General features: G+C 40.3%; 1 protein-coding gene and 1 pseudogene across 1 annotated transcript in view, besides 2 other annotated features; one reads left to right on the top strand and one right to left on the bottom strand.

Annotated features, from left to right (window-relative positions):
- Positions 1-26,186, bottom strand: part of TMPRSS12 (transmembrane serine protease 12) — a 44,959-nt gene extending 18,773 nt beyond the window's left edge. Inside the window, exons 1-3 of the mRNA NM_182559.3 lie at positions 25,961-26,186; positions 25,075-25,270; positions 10,059-10,327 (exon numbers count right to left, since the gene is read on the bottom strand). Of these exons, the coding sequence (NP_872365.2) occupies positions 10,059-10,327; positions 25,075-25,270; positions 25,961-26,147 (652 nt within the window). The 5' untranslated portion in view covers positions 26,148-26,186. The remainder of the gene's footprint in view (positions 1-10,058; positions 10,328-25,074; positions 25,271-25,960) is intronic.
- Positions 10,663-11,162: an enhancer, noted in NCBI's record as "H3K4me1 hESC enhancer chr12:51251733-51252232 (GRCh37/hg19 assembly coordinates)". NCBI's record gives its function as "activates a minimal SCP1, AML or CMV promoter by ChIP-STARR-seq in naive H9 embryonic stem cells {active_cell/tissue: H9 hESC(naive)}" and the evidence as "EXISTENCE:reporter gene assay evidence [ECO:0000049][PMID:30033119]".
- Positions 11,163-11,664: an enhancer, noted in NCBI's record as "H3K4me1 hESC enhancer chr12:51251231-51251732 (GRCh37/hg19 assembly coordinates)". NCBI's record gives its function as "activates a minimal SCP1, AML or CMV promoter by ChIP-STARR-seq in naive H9 embryonic stem cells {active_cell/tissue: H9 hESC(naive)}" and the evidence as "EXISTENCE:reporter gene assay evidence [ECO:0000049][PMID:30033119]".
- RN7SL519P (RNA, 7SL, cytoplasmic 519, pseudogene) lies at positions 27,327-27,614 on the top strand (annotated as a pseudogene).

Here is a 27,967-nt window from a genome sequence, read left to right as displayed (position 1 = left end):
GTTTTTTTTTCTTGTTTCTCTAGTTCCTTGAAGTATAACCTTAGAATGTCAGTTTGTGTCCTTTCAATCTTTTTGATGTAGGCATTTAGGGTTATGAACTTTCCTCTTAGCACCACCTTTGCTGTATTTCAGAGGTTTTGATAGGTTGCCTCATTATTGTCATTCAGTTTGAAGAACTTTTTAATTTCCATCTTGATGTTGTTTTTGACCCAATGATTATTCAGGAGCAAGTTATTTAATTTCCATATATTTGCATGGTTTTGAAAGTTCCTTTTGGAGTTGATTTCCAATTTTATTCCACTGTGGTCCAAGAGAGTTCTTGATATAATTTTAATTTTCTTAAATTTATTGAGGTCATTATGTGGCCTATCAGATGGTCTATCTTGGAGAAAGTTCCATGCAGTGTTGAATAGAAAGTGTATTCTGCAGTTGTTAGATGCAATGTTCTGTATATATCTGTTAAGTCTATTTGTTCCAAGGTATAGTTTAAATCCATTGTTTCTTTGTTGACTTTCTGTCTTGATGACCTATCTAGTGCTGTCAGTAGAGTATTGAGGTCCACCACTATTATTGTGTTGCTGTTTATCTCATTCCTTAGGTCTATTAGTAATTGTTTTATAAATGTGGGAACTCCAGTGTTAGGTGCATATATGTTTAGGATTGTGTTATTTTCCTGTTGGACAAGGCCTTTTACCATTATATAATGTCCCTCTTTGTCTTTTTTAACTGCTATTGCATTAAAGTTTGTTTTGTCTGACATGAAAATAGCTATCCCTGCTCTCTTTTGGTGTCCATTTGCATGAAATGCCTTTTTCCACTCCTTTACTTTAAGTTTATGCAAGTCCTTATGTGTTAGGTGAGTCTCTTGAAGGCAGCAGATAGTTGGTTGGTGAGTTCTCATCCAGTCTGCAGTTCTGTATCTTTTAAGTGGAGCATTTAGGTCATTTATATTCAATGTTAGTATTGAGATGTGAGGTACCATTGCATTCATCGTGCTATTTGTTGCCTTGTACCTTGGTTTTCGATTTTTTGTTTATGCTTTTTAAACTGTATTTTTGTTTTATAGGTCCTGTGAGATTTATGCTTTAAAGAGGTTCCATCTTGATGTGTTTCCAGGATTTGTTTCAAGATTTAGAGCTCCTTCTAGCAGTTCTTGTAGTGGTGGCTTGTTAGTGGCAAATTGTCTTAGCATTTGTTTGTCTGAAAAAGACTCTATCTCTCCTTTACACGTGATGGTTAGTTTCACGGGATACAAAATTCTTGGCGATAATTGTTTTGTTTGAGGAGGCTGAAGATAGGGCCCCAATCCCCTCTAGCTTGTAGGGTTCCTGCTGAAAAATTTGCTGTTAATCTGATAGGTTTTCCTTTATAGGTTACCTAGTGCTTTTGTCTCACGGCTCTTAAGATTCTTTCCTTCACCTTAACTTTAGATAACCTGATGACAGTGTGCCTAGATGATGATCTTTTTGCAAAGAATTTCTCAAGTGTTCTTTGTGCTTCTTGTATTTGGATGTCTAGGTCTCTAGCAAGGCTGGGGAAGTTTTCCTCGATTATTCCCCCAAATATATTTTCCAAACTTTAGGTTTCTCTTCTTCCTCAGGAACACCAATTATTCTTAGGTTTGGTTGTTTAACATAATCCCAGACTTCTTGGAGGCTTTGTTCATATTTTCTTATTCTTTTTTCTTTGTCTTTGTTGGATTGGGTTAATTCAAAGACTTTGAGCTCTGAATTTCTTTCTTCTATTTGCTCAATTCTATTGCAGAGACTTTCCAGAGCATTTTGCATTTCTGTAAGTGTGTCCAATGTTTCCTGAAGTTTTGTTTTTTCTTGATGCTATCTATTTCCTTGAATATTTCTCCCTCCACTTCTTGTACCAGTTTTTGGATTTCCTTGCATTGGGCTTCGCCTTTCTCTGGAGCCTCCATGATTAGCTTAATAACTAACCTCCTGAATTCTTTTTCAGTTAAATCAGGGATTTCTTCTTGGTTTGGCCCCAATGCTGGTGAGCTAGTGTGATTTTTTGGGGAGTGTTAAAGAGCCTTGTTTTGTCGTATTACCAGAGTTGGTTTCCTGGTTCCATCTCATTTGGGTAGGCTCTGTCAGAAGGAAAGTCTAGGGCTGAAGGCTGTTGTTTACATTCTTTTATCCATTGAGTGTTCCTTTGATGTAGTACTCTCCCCACCTTTCTTATGGATGTGGCTTCCTGAGAACCGAGCTGCAGCGATTGTTATCTTTCTTCTGGGTCTAGCCACCCAGCAAGTCTACCAGGCTCTGGGCTGGTACTGGGGGCTGTCTGCACAGAGTCCCGTGATGTGAACTATCTATGGGTCTCTCGGCCGTGAATACCAGCACCTGTTCCAGTGGAGATGGCAGGGGGTTGAAATGGACTCTGTGAAGGTTCTTAGCTTTGGTGGTTTAATGTCCTATTTTTGTGCTTGTTGGCCTCCTGCTGGGAGGTGGTGCTTTCCAGAGAGCATCAGCTGTGGTATTATGGAGAGAAACCAGTGGTGGACAGGGCCCTAGAACTCTCAAGGGTATATGCCCTTTGTCTTCAGCAACCAGGGTGGGTAGGGAAGGACCATCAGGTGGGGGTGGGGCTAGGCATGTCTGAGCTCAGACTCTCCTTGGGTGGGTCTTGCTGAGGCTGCTGTGAGGGATGGGGGTGAGGTGCCCAGGTCAATGGAGTTGTATACCAAGTGATTATGGCTGCCTCTGCTGAGTCATGCAGGTTGTCAGGGAAGTGGGGAAAAGCTGGCAATCACAGGCCTCATCCAGCTCCCACACAATCCAAAGGGCCAGTCTCACTCCCACCATGCCCCTCAACAGCACCAAGTCTCTTTCCAGACAGTGGGCAAGCAGGGCTGAGAACTTGCCCCAGGCTACCCACCTCCCAGAGTATTTGGGGTGTCTCCCAAGTCCTGCAGGAGCAGTCTGCTTCCTTCAGAGGGTCTGTGGGTTGTCTTGGGATTCTCGATTTATTTCTGCAGTCATTCTGGAGCTAAAATTCATGATGCCAGCCTCCACACGCTGCTCTGTCCATCCACATTAGAGCTGCAATCTAGTTCTGGCTCCCATCTGCCATGATAATCTGAATAATCAGCTCTGCAGTCTGTACAGAAGCTCCATGTTGGAGCTGCAATCTAGTTCTGCCTCCCATCTGCCATGATAATCTGAGTAATCAGTTCTGCAGTCTGTACTCAAGCTATGTTTCTTGAGGGTAGGCCTCAAGAAACCTACAATCATGGCAGAAGGCAAAGGGGAGGCAAGCACATCTTCACACGGCAACAGGAGAGGGTGTCTTTTGGCTTTCATTATTCCTACTGAGAAGTCTGAAAACTAATCTGTAATTCTATTATAAAGATTTTTCTTTTATCTCTGGCTACATTTCAGATCTTCTGTTTTTTTTTTTTCTTTGTTGTTCAACTTCAGTATAATGTATGAAAGGGGATTACGTTTTGTTTTGGCTAATATTGTGCCTATTAATATTTTATCTGGATTCATGTCTTTCATCAATTTTTAAGAAATTTCAACCCAAATCCATTGAATATTGCCTCTCCTCTATCCTCTTTATTCCTTCCTCTCTGGCACTCACATTAGATGTATATTAGATTTTCTCATTCTATCCTTCTTATACCTTATTTCATGTTTTCTCTTTTTTCCCTTCGGTGCTACAGTCTAGGAAGTTCCTTCAGATATATCTTCTGGTTCACAAATCCTCTCTTCAGCTGTGTCTAATATGATATCTAGTTTATCCAATGAGTTTTGTTTTTGTTTTTTGAGACAGAGTCTTGCTCTCGTTGCCCAGGCTGGAGTGCAAAGATATGATCTTGGCTCACTGCAACCTCTGCCTCCTGGTTCAAGTGATTCTCCTGCCTCAGCCTCCCAAGTAGCTGGGATTACAGGCACCCACCACCATGCCTGGCTAATTTTTTGTATTTTTAGTGGATTGGGGGTTTCACCATGTTGGCTAGGCTGGTCTCAAACTCCTGGTCTCAGGTGATCCACCTGCCTTGGCTTCCCAAAGTGCTAGGATTACAGGCATGGGCCACCGCACCCAGCCTATCCAATGAGTTTTAAATACTAGCAATTACGTTTTTCATTTTTAAAGATTCTAGTGCCTAGTCCTTCTAAATAGTCTATTGCTGATTTTTGGCCGGGCCCTGTGGCTCATACCTGTAATCCCAGCACTTTAGGAGGCCGAGGTGGGTGGATCACGAGGTCAGGAGATCGAGACCATCCTGGCTAACACGGTGAAACCCTGTCTCTACTAAAAACACACAAAAAATTAGCTGGGTGTGGTGGTGGGCGCCTGTAGTCCCAGCTACTCAGGAGGCTGAGGCAGGAGAATGGCGTGAACCCTGGAGGTGGAGCTTGCAGTGAGCCAAGATCTCGCCACTGCACTCCAGCTGGGTGACAGAGCAAGACTCCGTCTCAAAAAAACAAAACAAAACAAAACAATAGTCTATTGCTCATTTTTAATTCTACCTTTTAGTTCTTTAAACAATTTACATATTTTTTTATTCTATACCTAAAAATATTAATATCTGAAGTCCTTGGGAGGCTTAATATGTTTGTTGTTTCTGTTGGCTTTCACTATTAATGGTTTGTTTCCTTATGTGTTTGGTGATCTTTGAACTGATATTTGGTTGATTTTAATCTGTGGGATCTTAAGTGCTTCTAAACTTTAGCCCATTGAATTAATTTCAGTTATTATATTTAATTATATTAGATATGTATGTTAAATATATTAATTATTTGTGATCTTTTTATTGTAATCCATTCGATTTCACTGCAACTTTATCTGGTTATATTCTTTGAAGCCTTAGATGAAGTTGGGTTTCTATATAAATAATTTGCATTTGATGTTGTCAGGATCAAATCTTGGGATGTTACTAAGCTAGAACCTGTTTTAAACTAAATTCTCAGCTTGAAGCTTTGTAGTCTACTCAGTGTTACTTTGGATAGCAAATCCGTGTGAGTGGTATTTATAGTTACATATTTTGGGGAGAGGGAATTTCTAGCTTTTCCCCCTTCCATTAGGCAGTTTTCCCAGTAAACATGGGGATGGCGATAGGAGGTGAGGATTTGTTGGTTATATGTGGTTCATTTAAAAAGCTTTTTATTTTAAAATAATTATGGAGTTATTGGTAGTTGCAAAGATAGCACTAAAAAGTCAAGTGTACATTTTATGCAGTTTCCTACAATGGTTACATCTCTGTCACTGAAATACAGTATCAAAATCTGGAGACTGACATTAATACAATGTGTGTGTAGATTCATGAAACCACCACAAAAAAACAGGGCATAGAGTTATTCCATCAGGACAAAAATCTCCTTCATGCTACCTAACCTTCTTAACCCTAGCAACTACTAATCTATTCTCTGTCTGCATAATTTTGTCATTTCATTGTTATATACTTGGAATCATATATGACATTTTAAAATTGGCTTCTTTTCACTCAACATAATGCCCTTGTCCATCTAACTTGTTGCATCTATCAATCGTTCATACCTTTTAACTGCTTAGTTATATTCTATGGTAAGGCTATACTAGTTTATTTAAGCATTCTCCTATTGAAGGACATTTTGGTTGTTTTTAGTTTTTGGCTTTTAAAATAAAGCTTTCATGAACATCTGTAAATAGTTTTTTTGTGTGTGGACATTTGTATTTCTCTGGGATAAATATCTAGGGGTACAATTGCTGGGTCATATGGTAAGTGTATGTTCACATGTATGTTTTTAAGAAACCATATGTCTGTTTTTTGGTGTACACACGTTTAGCATTGCTATGTCTTCTTGGTGGACTGAGGGCCTTTTATTATTATGTAATGTCTCTCACCATCCTTGTAATCTTCTCTGCTGTAAGTCTACTTTATCTGATATTTATATAGCCATTCCTACTTTCTCTTTTTTCCATTCCAGCTTCCTTTTTTTGTCTGGATACAGGGTCTTTCTCTGTTACCCAGGCTGGAGTGCAGTGGTGCTATCATAGCTCACCATAACCTCGAACTCCTGGGCTCAAGTGATCCTCCCACATAGCTGGGACTATAGACATGCACTACCATACCTGGCTAATTTTTTTAGCGACGAGGTCTCCCTATGTTGCTCAGGCTGGTCTCGAACTCCTGGCCTCAAGCAGTCCTCCCACCTCAGCCCCTCAAAGTGCTAGGATTACACGTGTAATCCAGCTTTCTTTTGATTAATGTAGCCATGTGTATTTTTCCCTCCTTTTTTTTTTAACCTACCTAGATCACATTTGAAGTATACTATATATATAAGAACAAGGCGGGTGCAGGGGCTCACGCCTGTAGTCCTAGCACTTTGGGAGGCCAAGGTGGGCAGATGACTTGAGGCCAGGAGTTTTGAGACCAGCCTGGCCAACATGGCGAAATTCCATCTCTACTAAAAATACAAAAATTAACTGGGCGTGGTGGTACACCTCTGTAATCCCAGCTACTGGAGACGCTGAGGCACAAGAATTGTTTGAATCCAGGAGGCGGAAGATGCAGTGAGCTGAGATCGCATCACCACCTTCCAGCCTGGGTGACAGAGCAAGACTCTGTCTTTAAAAAAAAAAAAATTATATGCTGGGTCATGAGTGTGACTCATTTTTAAAGTATAGCCATGGGACAGACTCCAGCTTTATGGGAGTGTCTTCCCTACTTCCCAACTTGGACAAGTTTTATTCTTTAACCATTTCCTTCCAAGGCCTATGAAACCACTGAAGTCAATATTAAAAGTTAACATTTTGGCGAATACCCTCAAGATCAAAGTCAACTTCCGTGTTCCAGTTCCCTGTCTAAGTTTCTATCGTCACACCGAGTCCTTAACCTATGTATTCTCCCTCTTTAATAGTTTTCAGTGGGGAGCTTGGTATGTACATGTAAACTACCATGTTGCTGGAGAACTAATTTAATTCTCAAAACAACTCTCTGATGGGTATCATTGCTCTCACTTTAAAGATCATGAAACTGTATGACATTGTGAAAGATGATATATTAGGCCGGGTGCACCTGGCTCACGCCTGTAATCCCAGCACTTTGGGAGGCCGAGGCAGGTGGATCACGAGGTCAGGAGATCAAGACCATCCTGGCCAACATGGTGAAACCCCGTCTCTACTAAAATACAAAAAATTAGCCGAGTGTGGTGGCACGTGCCCGTAGTCCCAGCTACTGGGGAGGCTGAGGCAGAGGAATCACTTGAACCCAAGAGGCAAAGGTTGCAATGAGCCGAGATTGCGCCACTGCACTCCAGCCTGGAGACAGAGCAAGACTCCCTCTCAAAAAAAAAAAAAAGATATATTAATAATACAGTGGAAATACATGAGATTTGCAACAGGCAGAACTGGGCTTGAATTCTGACTTCATCGTTTAGTTATTTTATTAGTTTAAGCAACTTATTTAACCTCTTTAAGCTTTATTTTACTCATTCATTTTATAGTATTTTCTGTAGTGTTGCTGGGGGTATTAAATGAGATAATGCATTGCAATGCTTAGCATTTTATTAAGTACTGGGCCCTAAACAAACGGTAGTTGCTTCTATTATTGTTCTAATTATTATTAAAGAGTCAATAACATGCCCATGGTCATTCAGCTAGCACAGAGCAGCAGGCTGGGATTCAGAATTAAGTCCGTGAATCTAAAGCCCATGTTCCTTTCCCTACACCATGTTGCTTTCCTTATCTTCTTTAAAAAGTATTCACAGATGGAAAAAAAAAAAAGAAAAATAATAATTCACAGGTCTTTCGTACATTTATCTACATCCTAGCTAAATAATCCACAAATATTTAAATGGCTAGGGCCTGTGGGGAATAGGAAGAAAAAAGAAGTCTTAGTACTTAACCTCATATATTCCTAACAGGACAATGATTCCCTCAAGAGCAGTTTAATATAGTTATTAAATATTCAGGCTTTAGAATAAAAGACTTGGGACTTGGATTTGAGTTCCAACTTCTTAACCTCTAAGATTCTCAATTACTGGTCTGTTAAATGGGGTAAAAATAACATTAACTCCCTTTTAGGAATATTGGGGGCATAAGATAAAGCAGTATATTTAAAACAGGACCCAGGACAGGCATGGTGCTCATGCCTATAAACCCAGCTACTCAGGAGACCGAAGCGGCTAGATTGCTTGAGGCCAGGAGTTTGAGACCAGCCTGAGCAACACAGCAAGACCATCTCTTAAAAACAAACAAACAAAAGCTGGGCACAATGGCTCATACCTGTAATCTCAGCACTTTGGGAGGCTGAAGCAGGAGGATTTCTTAAGACTAGGAGTTCAAGACCAGTCTAGGAAACATGGCAAGACCCTGTCTCTACAAAAAAATGAAAAAATTAGCTGGGCATGGTGGCACATGCCTGTAGTCCTAGCTACTTGGGAGGCTGAGGCAGGAGGATTACTTGAGACCAGGAGGTAAAGGTTACAGTGAGCCATGATCGTGTCCCTGCACTCCAGCTTGAGTGACACAGCAAGACCATGTCTCTTAAAAAACCAAAACATACATCTATACATACATAATACGTTTTAAAAAGCTGGGCGTGGTGGCACATGCCTGTAGTCCCAGCTATTGGAGAGGCTGAAGCAGGAGAATTGCTTGAGCCCAGGAGTTTGAGGCTGCAGTGAGCTATAATTATACCACTGCACTCCAGCCTGAGAGACAGAGTGAGACCCCCATCTCTAAAAAAAAAGTGTTTTAAATAACAACAAGAACAGAAACAGGGCCTGAAACATGGTAAATGCTCCCAAATGGTGGTAGCTCTTATTACCAAAGAGACTGTGTCGTCTATGTTTTTATTCCTCCCATTAGTTGGGTCAGTTAACATTTACTGCCCCTAAGTACACTAAAAAAATATATCGCAATCATCTTGCCTGATACTAAACAAGGCATTAAATTAAAAGGAAACTAAATATGATTCTTCATAGCCAGAAGCTTATTACTTAAAATAGAGAACTCTGCTGCAGAGCTGGCTTCACCATCTGTGAGTTCAAACTACAGAAACACTTGGAACTATCATTCTATCTTAACGTTCAAGTATCTTGGCATGTACAATCAGAGAAAGTCTCTATTTCTGCTTTGGAAAAGAATTTTCTCTCCTATCCCACAAGGAAAAATAGACCCCTCAAAAAGTTGTTTTCAGTGTTTTATAAGAACCTATAATACTTTTCAATCTCATGGCATAAAGTGATAAAAAAATACACAGAGTGAAACACAGTCAGGCATCACTTAATGATGGAGAACATTCTGAGAAATACATCGTTAGGCAATTTTGTTGTGCAACCATGATAAGAGTGCACTTACATAAACCTAGATGGTATAGTCTGCTGCACACCTAGGGTAGATGGTATAGCCTGTTACTTCTAGGCTACACACCTGTTCCGCTGTACTAAGTATTGTAGACAGCTGTGATACAGTAGAAAGCATTTGTATATCTAAACACAGAAAAGGTACAGTAGGCCAGGCTTAGTGGCTCATGCCTGTAATCTCAACACTTTGGGAGGCTGAGGCGGGTGGATCACAGGAGGCCAGGAGTTCGAGACCAGCCTGGTCAACATGGTGAAACCCTGTCTTTACTACAAATACAAAAATTAGCTGAATGCCAGGTGCGGTGGCTCATGCCTGTAATCCCAGCACTTTGGGAGGCCGATGTGGGCAGATCACCTGAGGTTGGGAGTTCAAGACCAGCCTGACCAACATGGAGAAACCCCGTCTCTACTAAAAATACAAAAATTAGCAGGGCATGGTGGCGCATGTCTGTAATCCCAGCTACTTGGGAGGCTGAGGCAGGAGAATCACTTGAACTTGGGAGGTGGAGGCTGCAGTGAGCCGAGATCGTGCCACTGCACTCCATCCTGGGCAACAGAGCAAGACTCTGTCTGGAAAAAAAAAAAAAGGTACCATAAAAATACGGAAAAATAATCTTATAGACCACCATCGTGTGTGTGGTCTGTCATTAACTTAAATGTCATTATGTGGCACATGAATGTATATAAAAGGTTTGACCTTCCTCTGCCCATAATCAGGAAAATGTGTATCAGTAAAATTCAGACCATAATTACCTTCTTCTTTTGTTCTTCCCCAGCCACTTATAAAACACTTTGTGTTTCCGTCCAGGATTTGGAAAACATCAAAAGGTAGGCAAATAGGCTGAATATAGTCATTATACCTCACTGCTTTTTTTAAGTGAAAAAGTGCAATATCATTTACATAAGATTCCAAAATGAAGTTTGGATGAATAATGATTGCTTTAATTTTTATCTTCTTGGTATGAGGATAGCGTCCATGTATATTATTAGTTCCAATCACAGCTGTCCACATTAAAGGATCGCTGAAAGAAAGTAAACATTCTTATTATAAATATCTTTAATTAACTAAGTACATATTCTTAATCTCCCACTAGTTTTCTTCTCATGTTAGATTAATAAAAAACTTTAATTCCAGTTTCATGTGACATAAAATATCAAATAACACAAATATCATGATCTAGGGAAGGAGAAAAAGACCAATGGGACAGAAAATCCAGAAACTGATTCAAGTACATGAGAATTTAATATGTTATTAAGGCAGCATTTTGTACCAATGGACAAAAGAATGAATTATTCAATATGTGGTATTGGGGCAACTAGCTGTTTGAAAAGAGAAATAAAACTAGATCCCTGAAATAACACTAAACACCAAAATAAACTCCAAATGGATTAAATATTTAAATGTACAAATCTATTTAGTAAAGAGTTCCCATCTTTTAGAGATACACAAAGAGATATGTCTGAGTTTTGCTTCAAAATAATTGGAGGGAGAATGGTGAGGGTATAGGTGAAACAAGATCAGGTATCAGTTGATAACGGGAAGCTAGGTGATGGGTACATGGGAGATCGATAAAATATTCCCTCTACTTTTATAATTTTTTTGAAACTTACTGGAATGAAACATTTGGATATTAACTTAGCATGTGAATTAAAAAACTAAACCAGGGCTGGGTGCAGTGGCTCACGCCTGTAATCCCAGCACTTTGGGAGGCCAAGGCAGGCAGATCACGAGGTCAGGAGATCGAGACCATCCTGGCTAACATGGTGAAACCCTGTCTCTACTAAAAATACAAAAAACAACAACAAAAAAATTAGCCGGGCGTGATGGCGGACACCTGTAGTTCCAGCTACTCGGGAGGCTGAGGCAGGAGAATGGCATGAACCCGGGAGGCGGGGCTTGCAGTGAGCCGAGATCGTGCCACTGCACTCCAGCCTGGGCGACAGAGCGAGCCTCTGTCTCAAAACAACAACAACAACAACAACAACAACGACAACAACGACAACAACAACAACAACAAAAAACTAAACCAGAAAAAAATCTAGATGAATATATAACATTGACGCAAGAAAGGATTTGATAAAGCATGACACTAAAGGTAAAAACAAGAAGCAACTCATCGATCTTGGCCATCTTAAAGCAAGCAAGCAAGCAAGCAAAAAACTAAACCCAAAACAATTGAAACAATCAACAATTAAAACCACGAGAGGTTAACAGTAGTTAACTTCTGGAATCAAATTAGGAAGGAAGAACTTTCACTTTATACACTGTTGCTTACAGATAACTTTTCATCCTTCAAATTGGCAATGTTTATGTGAGTGCATGCATATGTGTGTGTGTGTTCGATGATAACAGTGCAGACGAGTTAGAGGAACAAGGGTACTCTTATTCATGGCAGAAAGTGTAAATAGATGGGCAATTTGGCAACGTGTATCAATAGCCTAAAAAAGCTGCATTTGCATTTGACTCTGCAATTCTGCTTCCTAGAATTTATCCCAAGGAAATAAAAGATGAACACAAAAATTTAGCTATAAAAATATTTACCACAGAAATTTTGGCATATCTACAAAGTGGAATACAGGAGCAAAATACATATGTTGACAAGGAAAAATGCTTATGTTATATAATTTAATGTAAAAGGCTATTTCACAGTTTAGCTATATAAGCCTGTTATATAAAATAATTTGCATATATGGCTAGAAAAATCTAGAAAACTATGTAAAAAAAATTAACAGCTATTATTTCTAGGAAGTGTAATAAATGATTCTTATTTTTTTCTCATTTCTGTTTTCTCATTTTCTTACATTAAATATGTTCTAGGCCGGGCATGGTGGCTCATGCCTGTAATCCCAACACTTTGGGAGGCCGAGACAGGCAGATTGCTTGAGCCCAGGAGTTTGAGCCCACCCTGGGCAACATGGCGAAACCCTGTCTCTGTAAAAAAAAAATACAAAAATTAGCCGGATGTCGTGGCACATGCCTGTAGTCCCACCTACTTGAGAGGCTAAGGTGGGAGGATTGCTTGAGCCCAGGAGGTTAAGGCTGCAGTGAGCCATGACTATGCCACTGCACTCAAGCCTGAGCAACAGAGTGAGACCCTGTCTCAAAAACAAACAAGTAACAACAACAACAAAAAAACCACAAAAATGTTCTACTTATTTTTTTTTTAATATAAAACAGCAGATACACTTATCATTTGACAAGGTAGTCTCACTCTTGGGTATTTACAGAAGTGAAATGAAAACCTAGATTCACACAAATGTTTATAGTGGTTTTACTCATAATTGACCAAATTGGAAACAAATATCCTTCAAATAGTAGATGGATTAACAAACAGTGGTACATTCATATGTATTTGGCCATTCTTGCTTTGTTATAAAGAAATACTTGAGGCTGGGTAATTTATAAAGAAAAGAGATTTAATTGGCTCACAGTTCTGCAGGCTGCACAGGAACCATCGTGCTGGCATTGCTTGTGGTGAGGGCTTCAGGGAACTTACAATCATGAGGTAAGGGGAAAGGGGAACAGGAGCATTGCATGATGAGAAGGAGCAAGATAGCAAGTGGGGAGGTGCCAAACACTTTTATTTATATCTTTTCCCTAACTTTTATTTTAGGTTCGGGGGTACACGTGCTGGTTTGTTACATGGGTAAACTGTGTGTGGCAGGGTTTTGGTGTACAGATTATTTCACCACCCATGTAATGAGCATAGTACCCAATAGTTAGTTTTTCAATCCACTTCTCCACCCTCAAGTAGGCCCCAGTGTCTGTTATTCCCTTCTTCATGTCCATGTGTACTCAATGTTGGGCTCCCACTTATGAGAGATAACAACATGTAATATTCGGTTTTCTGTTCCTGTATTAATTTACTTAGGGTAATGGCCTCTAGCTCCAGCCAAGTTGCTACAAAGGAGATGATTTCATTCTTTTTCATGACTGCGTAGTATTCCATGGTGTATATGTACCACATTTTCTTTATCCAGTCCATCATTGATGAGCATCTAGGTTGATTCCATGTCTTTGCTATTGTGAATAGTGCTGCAATAAACATATGCATGCATGTGTCTTTATGGTAGAATTATTTATATTTCTTTAGGTGTATATCCAGTAATGGGATTGCTGGGTCAAACAATAGCTCTGTTTTAAGTTATCTGAGAAATCTCCGTACTGGTTTCCACGGGGACTGAACTAATTTCCATTCCCAACAGCAGTGTATAAGCATTTGCTTTCTCCATAGCCTTGCTAGAATCTGTTATTTTTTTACTTTTTAAGAATAGCCATTCTGACTGGTGTGGGATAGTATCTCATTGTGGTTTTGATTTGCATTTCTCTGATGATTAGTGATGTTGAGCATTTTTTCATATGTTTCTTGGCCATATGTATGTCTTTTGAGAAGTGTCTGTTCATGTCCTTCGCTCATTTTAAAATGGGGTTGTCTGGTTTTTGCTTGCTAATTTAAGTTCCTTATAGATCCTAGATATTAGACCTTTACTGAATGCATAGTTCATAAATATTCTGTAGGTTATCTGTTTACTCTGTTGATAGTTTCTTTTACTGTGCAGAAGCTCTTTAGTTTTATTAGGTTCCACTTGTCAATTTTTGTTTTTGTTGCAATTGCTTTTGGAGTCTTTGTCATGATGTCCTTGCCAGCAGCTTTGTTTCTGGGTTCTCTAACCTGTTCCATTGGTCTGTGTGTCTGTTTTTGTACCAGTACTGTGCTGTTTTAGTTACTGTAGCCTTCCAGTACAGTTTGAAGTCAGGTAGTATGATGCCTCCAGCTTTGTTCTTTATGCTTAGGATTCCTTTGGCTATTTGGGCTCTCTTTTGGTTCCACGTGAATTTTAGAATAGTTTTTAAAATTCTGTGTAAAATGTTGTCGGTAATTTGACTGGAATAGTGTTGAATCTGTAAGTTGCTTTGGACAGTATGGCCATTTTAACAATAATGATTCTTCCTATCCATGAGCATGGAATGTTTCTCCATTTGTTTTTATCATCTATGATTTCTTTCAGAAGTGTTTTATAATTCTTTTTGTAGAGAGCTTTCACATCCCTGGTTAGATGTATCCTTAGATATTTTATTCTTTTTTTGGCTATTGAGAATGGGATTGCATTCTTGATTTGACTGTCAGCTTAGACTTCATTGGTGTATAGAAATGCTGCTGATTTTTGTACATTGACTTTTTTTTTATCCTGAAGTTTTGCTGAAGTTGTTTATCAAATCTGGGAGCCTTTGGCCAGAGACTATAGGGTTTTCTAGGTATAGAATCGTAGTGTCTACAAACAGAGATAGTTTGACTTCCTCTCTTCCTATTTGGATGCCTTTTATTTCTCTCTCTTGCCTGGTTGCTCTGGTTAGGACTTCCAGTACTATGTTGAATAAGAGTGGTGATAGTGGGCATCCTTGTCTTGTTCCAGTTCTCAAGGGCATTTCCAGCTTTTGCCTGTTCAGTATGATATTGGCTGAGGGTTTGTCATAGATGGCTCTTATTATTTTGAGGTATGTTCCTTTAATGCCCAGTTTGTTGAGGGTTTTTAACATGAAGAGATGTTGAATTTTATCAAAAGCCTTTTCTGTATCTATTGAGATGATGTGGTTTTTGTTTTTAGTTTGTTTAGTTCTGTTTTAGTCCAGCATATGTTGAACCAATTTTGCATCCCAGGAATAAAGCCTACTTGATCATGGTGGATTAGTTTTTGATGTGCTGCTGGATTCAGTTTGCCAGTATTTTGTTGAGTATTTCTGCATCTGTGTTTATGAGGAATATTGGCCTGAAATTTTCTTTTAGATTGTGTCTCTGGCAGGTTTCAGTTATCAAAATGATGCTGGCTTTGTAGAATGAATTAGGGAGGAGTCCCTAATTCCAATTTTTTTGAATAGTTTTAGTAGGACTGGTACCACCTCTTTTATACACCTGGTAGAATTTGACTGTGAATCCTTCTGGTCCAGGACTTTTTCCAGTTAGTACTTTTTTTATTACTGATTTAGTGTTGGAACTTGTTATTGGTCTGTTCAGGGTTTCAATTTCTTCCTGGTTCTATTTTTTGAGGTTGTATGTTCCAGGAATTTATCCACTAGGTTTTCTAGTTTGTGTACATTCAGATGTTCATAATAGTCTCTGAAGGTATTTTATATTTCTGTGGGGTTGGTGGTACTGTCCCCTTTGTCATTTCTGATTTTGTTTATTTGGATCTTCTCTCTCCTTCTTCTTTTTTTTTTTTTTTTTTGTTAGTCTAGCTAGTGGTCTATCAATCTTATTTATTCTTTCAAAAAACTTTTGGTTTTGTTGATCTTTTGTATGTTTTTTTGTGTCACAATTTCATTCAATTCAGCTGTGATTTTGGTTAATTCTTTTCTTCTGCTAGCTTTGGGGTTGGTTTGTTCATTTTTCTCATTCCTCTAGGTATGATGTTAGGTTGTTAGTTTGAGATCTTTCTAATTTTGGTGTGGGCATTTAGCACCATAAACTTTCCTCTTAACATTGCTTTAGCTGTTTGCCAGAGATTCTGGTATGTTGTATCCTTGTTTTTGTTAGTTTCAAAGAATTTCTTGATTTCTACCTTAATTTCAGCATTTACCCGAAAATCATTCAAGAGAAGATTGTTTAATTTCCATGTTATTATATGGTTTTGAGAGATGGTGGCATTGATTTCTATTTTTATCACGTTGTGATCCAAGAGTGTGGATGGTATGATTTTGGGTTTTAAAAATTTGTTAAGAATTGTCTTATGGCTGAGTGTGTGGTCTATTTTAGAGTATGTGTTATGTGTGGATTACAAAAATGTATATTCTGTTGTTTTTGGGTGGAGTGTCTGTAGATAGCTATTAGGTCCATTTTGTCAAGCGTCAAGTTTAGATCTCAAATATCTTTGTAAGTGTTCTACCTCAGTGATCTGTCTAATACTGTCAGTGGGGTGTTAAAGTCTCCCACTATTATTGTGTGGTTATCTAAGTCTCTTCATAGGTCTCCAATAACTTGTTTTATGAATCTAGGTCCTCCAGTGTTAGGATAGGTAAGTCTTCTTGTTGAATTGAACCCTTTATCATTATGTAATGCTCTTTTTTGTCCCTTTTGGTCATTTTGGTTTAAAGTCTATTTTGTCAGACTGGGTGTGGTGGCTCATGCCTGTAATTCCGGTACTTTGGAAGGCCAAGATGGTTCACGAAGTCAGGAGTTCAAGACGAACCTGATCAAGATGGTGAAACCCCGTCTCTACTAAAAATACAAAAATTAGCTGGGTGTGGTGGCAGGCGCCTATAATCCCAGCTACTGGGGAGGCTGATGTAGGAGAATTGCTTGAACCTGGGCGGCAGAGGTTGCAGTGAGTCAAGATTGTGCCACTGCACTCCAGCCTGGGCGACAGAGAAAGACTCCATCTCAAAAAAATAAATAAAGTCTATTTTGTCTAAAATAAGAATAGCAACCCCTGCTCTTTTTTGTTTTCCATTTACTTGATAGATTTTGCTCCATCCCTCTACTTTGAGCATATGGATGTCATTGCATGTGAGATGTGCCTCTCTTAAAGACAATGTACAGGTGGGTCTTGTTTTTTATCCAACTTGCCACTCTGTGCCTTATAAATGGGGTGTTTAACCTTTTTACATTAAAAGTTGATATATGCAGATTTGATATTGTCATTGTGTTGTTAGCTTGTTTATGTAAACTTGATTGTGTAGTTGCTTTATAGTGTCAATGGTCTATGTATTTAAGTGTGTTTTTGTGGTGGCTGGTAATGGTCTTTCATTTCCATTTTTAGTACTCACTTAAGGATCTCTTGTAAGGCAGGTCTGGTGGTAATTAATTCCCTTAGCATTTGCTTGTCTGAAAAGGATATTATTTCTCCTTCACTTACAAAGCTTAGTTTGGCTGGATATGAAATTCTTGGTTGGAATTAATTTTCTTTAAGGATGCTAAATATAGACTGCCCCGATCTTTTCTGGCTTGTAGAGTTTCTGCTGAAAGGTCTGCTGTTAGCCTGATGGGGATTCCTGTTGTAAGCAACCTGCCCTTTCTCTCTAGTTGCCTTTAATATTTTTTCTTTTACATTAACCTTGGAGAATCTGATGACTATATGTCTTGGGGATGGTATTCTTGTATAATATTTCACAGGGCTTCTCTGAATTTCCTGAATTTGAATGTCAACCTCTCCAGCAAGGTTGCAGAAATTTTTATGGACAGTATCCTCAAATAGGTTTTCCAAGTTTCTTGCTCTCTGTCCCTCTTTTAGGGATGTCAATGAGTTGTAGGTTTGGTCTCTTTACATAATCCCCTATTTCTTGGAAGTTTTGTTTATTCTTTTTTCTTTATTTCTGTCTGAGTTGATTTGAAGAACTAGTCTTCCAGCTCTGAGATTCTTTTCTCAGCTTGGCCTTTTCTGCTGTTAATACTTCTAATTGTATTATTAAATTCTTGTGAGTTCTTTTTTTAACTCTATAGATCAGTTTGGTTCTTTCTTAAAATGGCTGTTTCATCTTTCAGCTCTTGTATTATTTTACTGGATTTCTTAGATTCCTTGGATTGGGTTTCAGATTTCTCTGGAATCTTGTTTATCTTCATTGCCATCCAGATTCTGAATTCTGTGTCTCTCATTCCAGCCATTTCAGTCTGGTTAAGAACCATCACTTGGGAGCTATTGTAGTCATTTGGAGATAAGAAGAAACTCTGGCTTTTTGGGTTGCCAGGGTTCTTGTGCTGGTTCTTTCTCATCTGTGTGGACTGTTATTCCTTTAATCTTTGAAGTTGCTGTCCTTTGGATGGGGCTTTTTGCTTTTATATTCTTTGATGCCCTTGAGGGTTTGACTGTGTTATAAGTTGGGTTTAGTCAACTGGCATCATTTCTAAGTGATTTTAGGGGGACAAGACTCAGCTCAGCATGCCTGGGCTATAAGGTCTAATCCTGGGGGACTGGGACAGGCTCATGGCTTTGTACTCTGGCCTCTCATGGTCGGGCATCTGCTGCACTGGAAGACCTGAGGTGTTCCTGGTCCACCGGCAACAAGGCTGCAATGAGGGATGCTGGCAAAAGCACTTTGTCCGGGCAGTGGCAGCAGGGTTCATGCTTGTGTGCATGTGCCAGCAGTAGCAGGGCAGCAGTGCAGCTGGGTCCATGTGTGTGTGCACTGGTGGTGGAAGTGCAGTGGAGTCTGCACATGTGCCAGCAGTGGTGGGGCACAGGCATGGCAGGGTCCACATGTGTGCACTGGTGGCAGTAGTGCTACACACTTTTTTTAGACAGGGTTTTGCTTTGTCACCCAGGCTGAAGTACAGTGGAGTGAACATGGCTCACTGCAGCGTCAACCCCCTAGGCTCAAGCAATCCTCTCACTTCAGCATCCTTAGTAGCTGGGACCACAGGCATAAGCCACCATACCGGGCTAATTTTTAAAATTTTTTGTAGAGACAGGGTCTCGCCATTTTGCCTAGGCTGGTCTTGAACTCCTGGCCTTAAGAGATCCTTCTGCCTCAGCCTCCCAAAGTGCTGGTATTACAGGTGTGAGCCAATGCACTTAGCTGGTGCTATCCATTATGAAACAAACAGATCTCATGAGAACTCACTTATCACCAAGGGAATGGTTGTAAGCCATTCATGAGGGATCTGCCCCCACAATCCAGTCACCTCCTACCAGGCCCCACCTCCAATACTGGGGATTACATTCCAACATGAGATTTGGAGGGGACACTCAAACTATATCATCGTACAATGCAATACTGTTCAGCAATAAAAACAAATAGTAGTGACACACATAATAACATGGATGAATCTCAAATGCATTATGCTAAGTGAAACCAAACTCATAAGGCTCCATACCATATGATTCCATTTATATGGCACTCTGGAAAAAGAAAAACTATAAAGACAGAAAATAGATCAGTGGTTGCCTGGCAATGAAGGAGGGAGGGGGTTTACCTGAAAGGGGTATGGGGGAATTTTTGGAGGTGAAGAAATTTGTTCTGTGCCTTCTATTGGTAATCACATGACTGTATGCGTTTGTCCAATTCACAGAACTGTACTTTAAGAATAATGAATTTTACTACATGTTAAGTTATATCTTAATAAAATTATTTTTGTCTTTTTTTTTTTTTAAAAAGGAATGATCTACTGACACACAAAACAGCATGGATGAATTTCAAATGCATTCTGCTAGGTAAACAAGCCAAGCTCAAATGGCTATACATTGCATGACTCTCTTTATATCACATCCTGGAAATGGAAAAACTGTAAGGGATAGACAACAGATCAATGGCTGCCAAGGGCTGGATGCAGGGGCAGGGGTTGGCTACAAAGGGTCATGAGAGGATTTAAGGTTATGGAACTGTTCTAAATCTTGATTGTAGTAATTACATGACTATCTACACTGTCAAAAGTTGTAGAACAGAACATTTTTTAAAAGGTGAATTTTACTGCATGTAAATTATGCCTTAACTTTAAAAAGAAAATAAGTGCATAAGTGAGAAAACTGAGAAAAGAAAAATAGATCCAACAGGTCATTTCTACTAATGTGAGTTAGGACTGGCTGTACGAAAAAGCCTCTAGGTTTTAGTAGATATCAGTGGGCTGCTGGACTACAACATATTCTTTCTCAGTTCCAGTTACATAGAGATAATTAAAACAGTATCCTCTTTCCCTTTTCTAAAAATATCCATTGGTGGCTGTATGCAGTGTCTCATGCCTGTAATCCCAGCCCTTTGGAAGGCCGAGGTAGGAAAATAGCTTGAGCTTAGGAGTTAGAGACCAGCCTGGGCAATATAGCAAAACCCCATCTCTACAAAAAACACAAAAATTAGACATGGTAGCACATGCCTGTAGTCCCAGCTACTGGGGAGGCTGAAGTGGGAGGACCAATTTATCCTGGGAGATTGATGCTGCAGTGAGCCAAGACTGTGCTACTGCACTCCAGCCTAGGTGATAGAGCAAGACCCTGTCTCAAACAAACAAAAAGAAATATCCATTGGTGCTTATATACTCATATCCATATCCTATGCAAGGATGAGTGCCCTGCCCACTCTGTTGTCAAGGTGCTCTCATTTAATACATGACCCCAGATCCCCTGACCACAGCTCTCTGGGAAAGGGGTGGGCCTCTAATAAAGGTTTATTCATAAATTGAGCAATGGTGGTATCACCTGATTGAAAAGCTGGGTTGGGATAATCAGATAATTCACCATGAAAATTGATGAGAAGGCCAGTTGGCAATAGGAGCTGAAACTGAAAGATTATGAGGTAGAATGATAACACATCATATGTAAGTTCATGTTATAAGGAAGCCATTCAGTGAAAGGGAGAAAAAGGGCAGACAAAAAACAAAACAACAACGACAAAAACAATCCCTTCAGAGACACCTAGCTATAGACAGCTCCGCCCCAAATATCATTCCTCATGTGATGAATCTGGCTGCATATCAGAATCCAGTGCTTTGAAAAGGAGTAAAGACCATGACTGGTTCTTAGAGACTAAACCGATTTCTGGGTGGGAAGTGGGGAAGGCAAATCCAACACAGTGGCCAGCAGGAAGTCGATGAGGGAGCTTGAAGATATCTACCAATGTGAAATTAAATACTTTATAATAACAAGCATCCAACTTGATAAATCTCATTTATTGACTTGGCAAGGCTTTTTTTTTTTTTCCTGACAACCTTTTATTTGATAAAGGGGCCTTCAAAATAGAAATCAACTTTCCAACAGAGTTTCCAAACCTGCAAAAAATACTTAAAACATAAAGTTATCACCATAAACTTGATGAAAAAGGACAAGCCTGTCTTCCAGTAACTAGTGTAAAAAACTAGACACTAATAACTAAACTTGGCCAAGTAGTCCCGTACCTCATATTACTGGTGAAAGAACTCAGACCTAAGCATCTCCCTCACGCTGATCTAGTTGAAGAATATATATGTGTATATATATATATATATTTTTTCTCTTTTTTTGAGATGAAGTCTCGCTCTTTCGCCCAGGCTGGAGTTCAGTGGCATGATCTAGCTCACTGCAACCTCCGCCTCCCAGGTTCAAGTGATTGTCCTGCCGAGTAGCTGGGATCACAGGCACCCACCACCACGCCTGGCTAATATTTTGTATTTCTAGTAGAGACAGGGTTTCACCATGTTGGCCAGGCTGGTCTCAAACTTCTGACCTCAGGTGATCCTCCTGCCTCAGCCTCCCAAAGTGCTGGGATTACAGGTGTGAGCCACCACACCCAGCAGGTTCTGTCATCTTATAATACTGTCCTCCAATCCATGAACACAGGATGTATTTTCATTTATTCATTTATGTCTTCTTGTAGCACTCCAGCCTAGGCAACAAGAGCGAAACTCCCTCTCATAAAAAATAAAAATAAATAAAAATAAAAAAAACAAAAGGATGACAGAACCACCCAAAGCAATCTTTTCCCCAATATGGGAAAAAGTGGACTTCCCCATATTGCTCTGTAGACTGTAAACTTTTTAAAGAGTTTTTAGGGGCCGGGCACAGTGGCTCACGCCTGTAATCCCAGCACTTTGGGAGGCCGAGACGGGCGGATCACGAGGTCAGGAGATGGAGACCATCCTGGCTAACACGGTGAAACCCCGTCTCTACTAAAAATACAAAAATTAGCCAGGCATGGTGGGGGGCGCCTGTAGTCCCAGCTACGCGGGAGGCTGAGGCAGGAGAATGGCCTGAACCCGGGAGGCGGAGCTTGCAGTGAGCCGAGATCGCGCCACTGCACTCCAGCCTGGGCAACAGAGCGAGACTCCGTCTCAAAAAAAAAAAAAAAAAAAGTTTTTAGACTGAATGCAATCCCTATCAAAATCCCAATGACATTTTTTTTTTTGCAGAAACAGAAAAACCCATCCTAAAATTCATATGGAATATTAAGAGACTCCAAATAGCTAAAATAATCTTGAAAAATAAGAACAAAGTTGGAGGGCTCACATTTCCTGATTTCAAAACTTACTGCAGGCCGGATGCAGTTGCTCACACCTGCAGTTACCACTTTGGGAGGCCAAACTGGGAAGATCACTTGAGCCCAGGAGTTTCAGACCAGCCTGGGCAACATAGTGAAACTCTGTCTCTACAAAAAAATACAAAAATTAGTCAGACATGGTGGTGCACACCTGTAGTCCCAGCTATTCAGGAGGCTGAGGTGGGAGGATCACCTGAGCCTGGGAGGTGGAGGTTGCAGTGAGCTGAGATCATGCCACTGCATGCCAACCTGGGTGACAAAGCAAGGCTCTGTCTAAAAAACAAAACAAAAAACAAAAACACCACCAAGAAAAAATACTTACTATAGATCCATACTAATCCAAAGAGTGTGTGATACTAGCATAAGGACAGATATATACATCAGTGGAGAAGAATTGAGAGCCCAGAAATACACCCTCTCTATATGATCAATTGATTTTCAATGAAGATGCCAATACCATCTAATGGGGAAAGGACAAACTTTTCAATAGATGGTGCTGGGGAAACTTGATAGCTGCACGTAAAACAATGAAATTGTACCCTTACCTGATACCTTATGCAAAAATGGACTCAAAATGAATCAAAGACCTAAATCTAAGAGCTAAAGCTATAAAACTCTTAGAAGAAAACATAGGGGAAAAGCTTCGTGATACTGGATTTGATATAATGATTTCTTACATATTACACCAGAAACACAGGCAACAAAAGAAAAAAAATAGATAAATTTGACTTCATCAAAATTAAAAGCTTTTGTGTATCAAAGGACAATATCGAGAGTGAAAAGATGACCCACAGAATGGGAGAAAATATTTGCAAATAATGTGTCTGACAACAGATTAATATCCAGAATACATAAAGAACTCCTACAACTCAACAACAAAAAAGCAAAGAGCCCAGTTCAAAAATGGACAAAGGACTTGAATAGACATTCCTCCAAAGAAGATATACAAATGGCCAATAAGCACATAGAAAGATGCCTAACATCACTAGTAATTTGGGAAATGGAAATAAAAGCCACAATGAGCTACCATTTCATATTAATTAGGATAGTTATTATCAAAGTAGTAGTGTAAATATAAGTATGATAAGTCATAAGCTAGGAATATAGAGACTGATATTCTGGATGTACTTTTAATCAGTAGGGAGGGTGGAGGGACAGAAGAAGCAAATGTAAGATACTGCACAGAGAGCCTTCACAGGCCTTGGAGACTACTTGGATAGCTGAAGTGGGAGAAATTAGATAACTCTCTGGGTAATGGAGCTGTTGATGATGCTATCAACTGAGAAAATAGAGAAGAAATAGTATCAGAGGAAAGTAAATTCCATTTTGGACTTATTTAAAATGTGACTCCAATAAAGCTGGAAATATGACTCATCAGGAGAGACCTAGGAGTTGACAGCACATGGTGATTGCTGAAACAGAGGTAGATTAGACATCTCTAGGAAAGAGTACAGAATGACAGAGGGCAGAGGGCAAACTCTAGAAAACACTGCAATGTAAAGGATGACAAAGACTCATCAAAGAAGCAGGAGAAAAAAGTAGAGAATGGTGTCTTAGAAATCAAGAAAAGAGATAATTTCAAGAAGAGAATGTGGTCAACATTGCCAAAGGCTGTAGAGGTCAAAAAGGATGGGAACTGAGATGAAGTCATTGGATTTGGCATGGAAGTGGATCTTTAACAGCATTTGGCCACAAAAATCAGACTGCAGTTGGATTTTATGGGTCAATGGAGATGAAGCAAAGAGAGTCTCTTTTTCAAAGAGTCTAATAGTGAAGGCCAAATCTGGCATGTCTCTTGTTTTCATACAGTCCATAAAGCATGTTTTTTACATTAACAATTTTTTTAAATATAGAGACAGGGTCTCGCTATATTTCCCAGGCTGGTCTCAAACTCCTGGCCTCAAGTGATCCTCCCGTCTTGGCTTCCCAAAGCATTGGGATAACAAATATGAGCCAACATGCCCTACTCTACATTTTTAAATGGCTGAATCAACCACAATATTTCATGACACGTTAAACATATGAAATTCAGATTTCAGTGTTCATAAAGTTTTATTGGATTATAGCCACACTCATTCAATTACTTATTTTCAGTGCTGGTTTTCATGCAATTGTGAGAGAGACCATATGACCTTCAAAGTGTAAAATATTTACTACCTTTATAGGAAGTTTACCAGCCTCTAATTTAAAAGATCCATGATCGAGCATGGTGGCTTACACCTGTAATCCCAGAACTTTGGGAGGCTGAGGCGGGCAGATCACGTGAGGTTAAGAGTTCAAGACCAGCCTGGCCAACATGGTGAAACCCCCTTTTCTACTAAAAATACAAAAATTAGCTGGACATGATGGCAGGCATCTGTAATTCCAGCTACTCCGGGGGCTGAGGCAGAAGAATCGCATGAACCCAGGAGGCGGAGGTTGCAGTGAGCCAAGATTGCACCACTGCACTCCAGCCTGGGTAACAGAGTGACACTCCATTTCAAAAAAAAAAAAGTAAAAAATAAAGGATTCCTGGGTAGGGGGCTAGGGGAGGGATAGCATTAAGAGAAATACCTAATGTAGTTAGATGATGGGTTGATGGGTGCAGCAAACCACCATGGACATGTATACCTATGTAACAAACCTGCACGTTCTGCACATGTACCCCAGAACTTAAAGTATAATAATAATAATAATAAATAAAGGATTCCTTTCAACAAATACACTGTACTATATATAAGGCATTATGGCTATTTGCAAACATAGCTTAGCTGAAAATGGCTGAAGTTAAATGGTCCTCTATCACTTCAAAATATCCCCTAAGAGCATAAAAATAGTTGTGTTCTGAATACGTACCTAGCGTCTTTAGTGCAGTGGGCAGCTGTGAGGACCCACCTCTCTCTCACTAGGGTTCCCCCACATACATGAACAAGAACACGGCCATATTTAATCTGCAGGCTCACCACCCACGGCCATGCGCCAGCTTGTGCTTCGGTGCCCCCTATAATCCGAGACCCTTGCAACACATCCTTAAGCGGTGCTGTTCCACAATCTAAAAATAAAAATGATATATTATTTGGACTGAGCATCTATAGTATGTGTTACTTCCTAAGCTGAACATATTAATGCAATCCTTTAAATTCCTATGTTAAAAACACAAAGCAAGCTAACATACCGGAGACACGCCCATATTTTGAAAGAAACTTGGAGAGTTAAGACAAATATGCCATAATCGATTACTTACAAATAGACATGAAGTCAACACAATTCATTAATTTTAAAACTCTATTCCCCAAAAATATAAAAATAAAAATTTTTGGCCACGTATCACATTCTTCCCTGTGTGAAATAGCAGTTAAAGAGCCTGGGAACGGTGAGTCGAGAGCCGCAAATTCTAATGCTCACCATTTCACTTGTTGGGCTAATTTTTCTCAACTATAGTATGAAATGGTCACCTAATAGCCCTCCCTTTCAACTCTTTATCCCCTGACTTATTAATCTATAAAATGGGGATGATAAAACCCAGAATGTTTTGAGGAGAAAATACAGATTCACAATACAAATGTGTCATTTCACTATTACAACTACTGTTATTACAGCCGGTCTAGAAACTGCTTAGGTATGTAAAATTTTGGTTAAAGGCCATTGGGACAACAGAAAAGGAGAAACCCGAATTCAAAGACTATAGCGGTGGGGAAAAGGTAAGAGAGGCTCCCCAGAGACAGGCACGAACAGGTACTGCCCTCTGCATGCGCCCCTCCCTCCCTCCGCCGCCGGAGCCTCTTGCGGACGGCCTCAGCCTGCTGGGAACTAGCCGCCGGTTCCGGCGAGGGGCCGAGCCTGTGCCTTCCAGAGGGCGAGTAGTGGTCTGAGTATAAGTGAGAGCTCCCCACAAACAACAGCGCCACGCTCAGGAGCCCCAGCCGCATTTTGGAGGCTGGTGAGCAAGATGGCGGCAGGTACTTCCCACCCGCCCTGGGCACGCGGGGCGCACGGCCTGGCGGGGAGGCGCGAGTGAGGCCCGGAGGTGTGGGAGGCGGCCGAGGAATAGGTAGGTCAGTTTAGAAAGAACCCCTCACCCTCAAGGTCTGATCGGCTTCCTCATCCACCACTATCCCCCAGGTGATGTCTGATCACCCTGGCCTGTCCAGCAAGAATCCTGTTAGGTCGGTTAGCCGGAATGCCATTACTCCTGATGCTACCTCTTAGTAATTTTCCATCCACTGACACGTCTCTCCTGCTCCGTGGCTGTAAATTCTCCCTTGGCTCTGCTCTGTTTGGATTTTAGCCCAGTCCCTCTACCCATTACAAAATCCCATTGCCATGGTCCCTATCCCTATCTGGATGGTCCTGAATAAAGTCTGCCTTGCTGTGCTTTAATGAGTATCACTGAATAATTTTTCTTTAACATAACCCAGAGTTTTTAAGAGTGATACCTAATGTTCAGTTTTAAATTGTTCTGTCATTCCTATCTTGACCTATACTGAACTTTGCCTTTGTTAACCCAACACCTTCAGTAATAAGAAGACCGTGTGGGCTGTGGGAAGTTGGTGAGGTGGTGGAGAGTTAACGTAGAGGTCAATAAAAGGACAGTTGCCTTGCTCATACCATCCTTCCGAGGCTGGTGCAGTTGGCAGCATTAGATAAAAGGAGTATATGAGTTTGGGGCTTACACATGGTAACATGTGGGGAAGGGAGCAGAGTCTCAGAGCTGTGCCGAAATTGGGGTGGAGGAGGTGATATTGGAGAAACAAATTGCAGCATGAGCTGATCTCTGAGGGCTGACAAGAAACAAAGTCCTTATTCCCCAGATATTTTAGTGGAAGGTGATATTAGGAGGAGAAAAACACAGTTGGGGTGTGTGTATTTCTGTGTGTGTGAGATGTGGTCAGATTGTGTATGCCTTTGTAAACAAGGCAAGATGACTTTTTTTTTCTTTTTTTAAACCCATAGCCAACGTGATAAGGATGACGGGTCTTGCTATGACAGATAGTAGAGGTTTAACATACTCATAAAGCAAGTATATGCAGCCAAGTCATCAAATAGCAGTGACACAGGCAGTGGGCTGGGCACGGTGGCACATGCCTGTAGTTCTATTATACAGCACTGCTTTAAACAATATATTTTTTAGTTTTACTACTCAGGAGGCTGAGGCAGGAGGATTGCTTGAGCCCAGGAGTTCTGGACTGTAGTATGCTATGTCAACTGGTCAACTAAGTTTGGCATCAATATGGTGACCTTCGGGTAGTGGGGAACCACCAGGTTGCCTAAGGAGGGGTAACTGGCCCAGACTGGAAATGGAGTTGATCAAAATTCCTGTGTTGATTGGTAGTGAGATCATGCCTGTGAATAGCCACAGTACTCCAGCCTGGGCAACAAAGCAAGACCCCATCTCTCCAAATAAAATGAAAAAGGCAGTGGATCAATAACTGCAGAGGTCTTCTTCCTGGATTTCCTCTGCCTTTTCTCCTCTCCTGCATTGTCATTTCCTGTCTTTGGTGGGATCACTCCTATCTGCAGACAAATATCCTCTGGTATGGTAGGTAGCCTACAAAATGCCCGCCAATGAACCCTGTCTCCTGGTATTCACAGCCTTAGTCAGTTCCCTCTCCTTTAGTGTTGGCTGGATTTCGTGACTCACTTCTAGTAAATAGAAAGTAGAGGTGATGGGCTACCACTTTCAAGATTAGGTTATAAAAAGATTGTGACTTCTGTCCTGAGCACTCTCTGCAGTCCTGTTGCTCTAAGG

Source organism: Homo sapiens, chromosome 12 (assembly GCF_000001405.40).
Source record: "Homo sapiens chromosome 12, GRCh38.p14 Primary Assembly".
Classification (NCBI taxonomy): domain Eukaryota; kingdom Metazoa; phylum Chordata; class Mammalia; order Primates; family Hominidae; genus Homo; species Homo sapiens.
The sequence above is the reverse complement of the archived record's forward strand: the minus strand, read 5'-3'. Positions and strand labels throughout refer to the sequence as shown.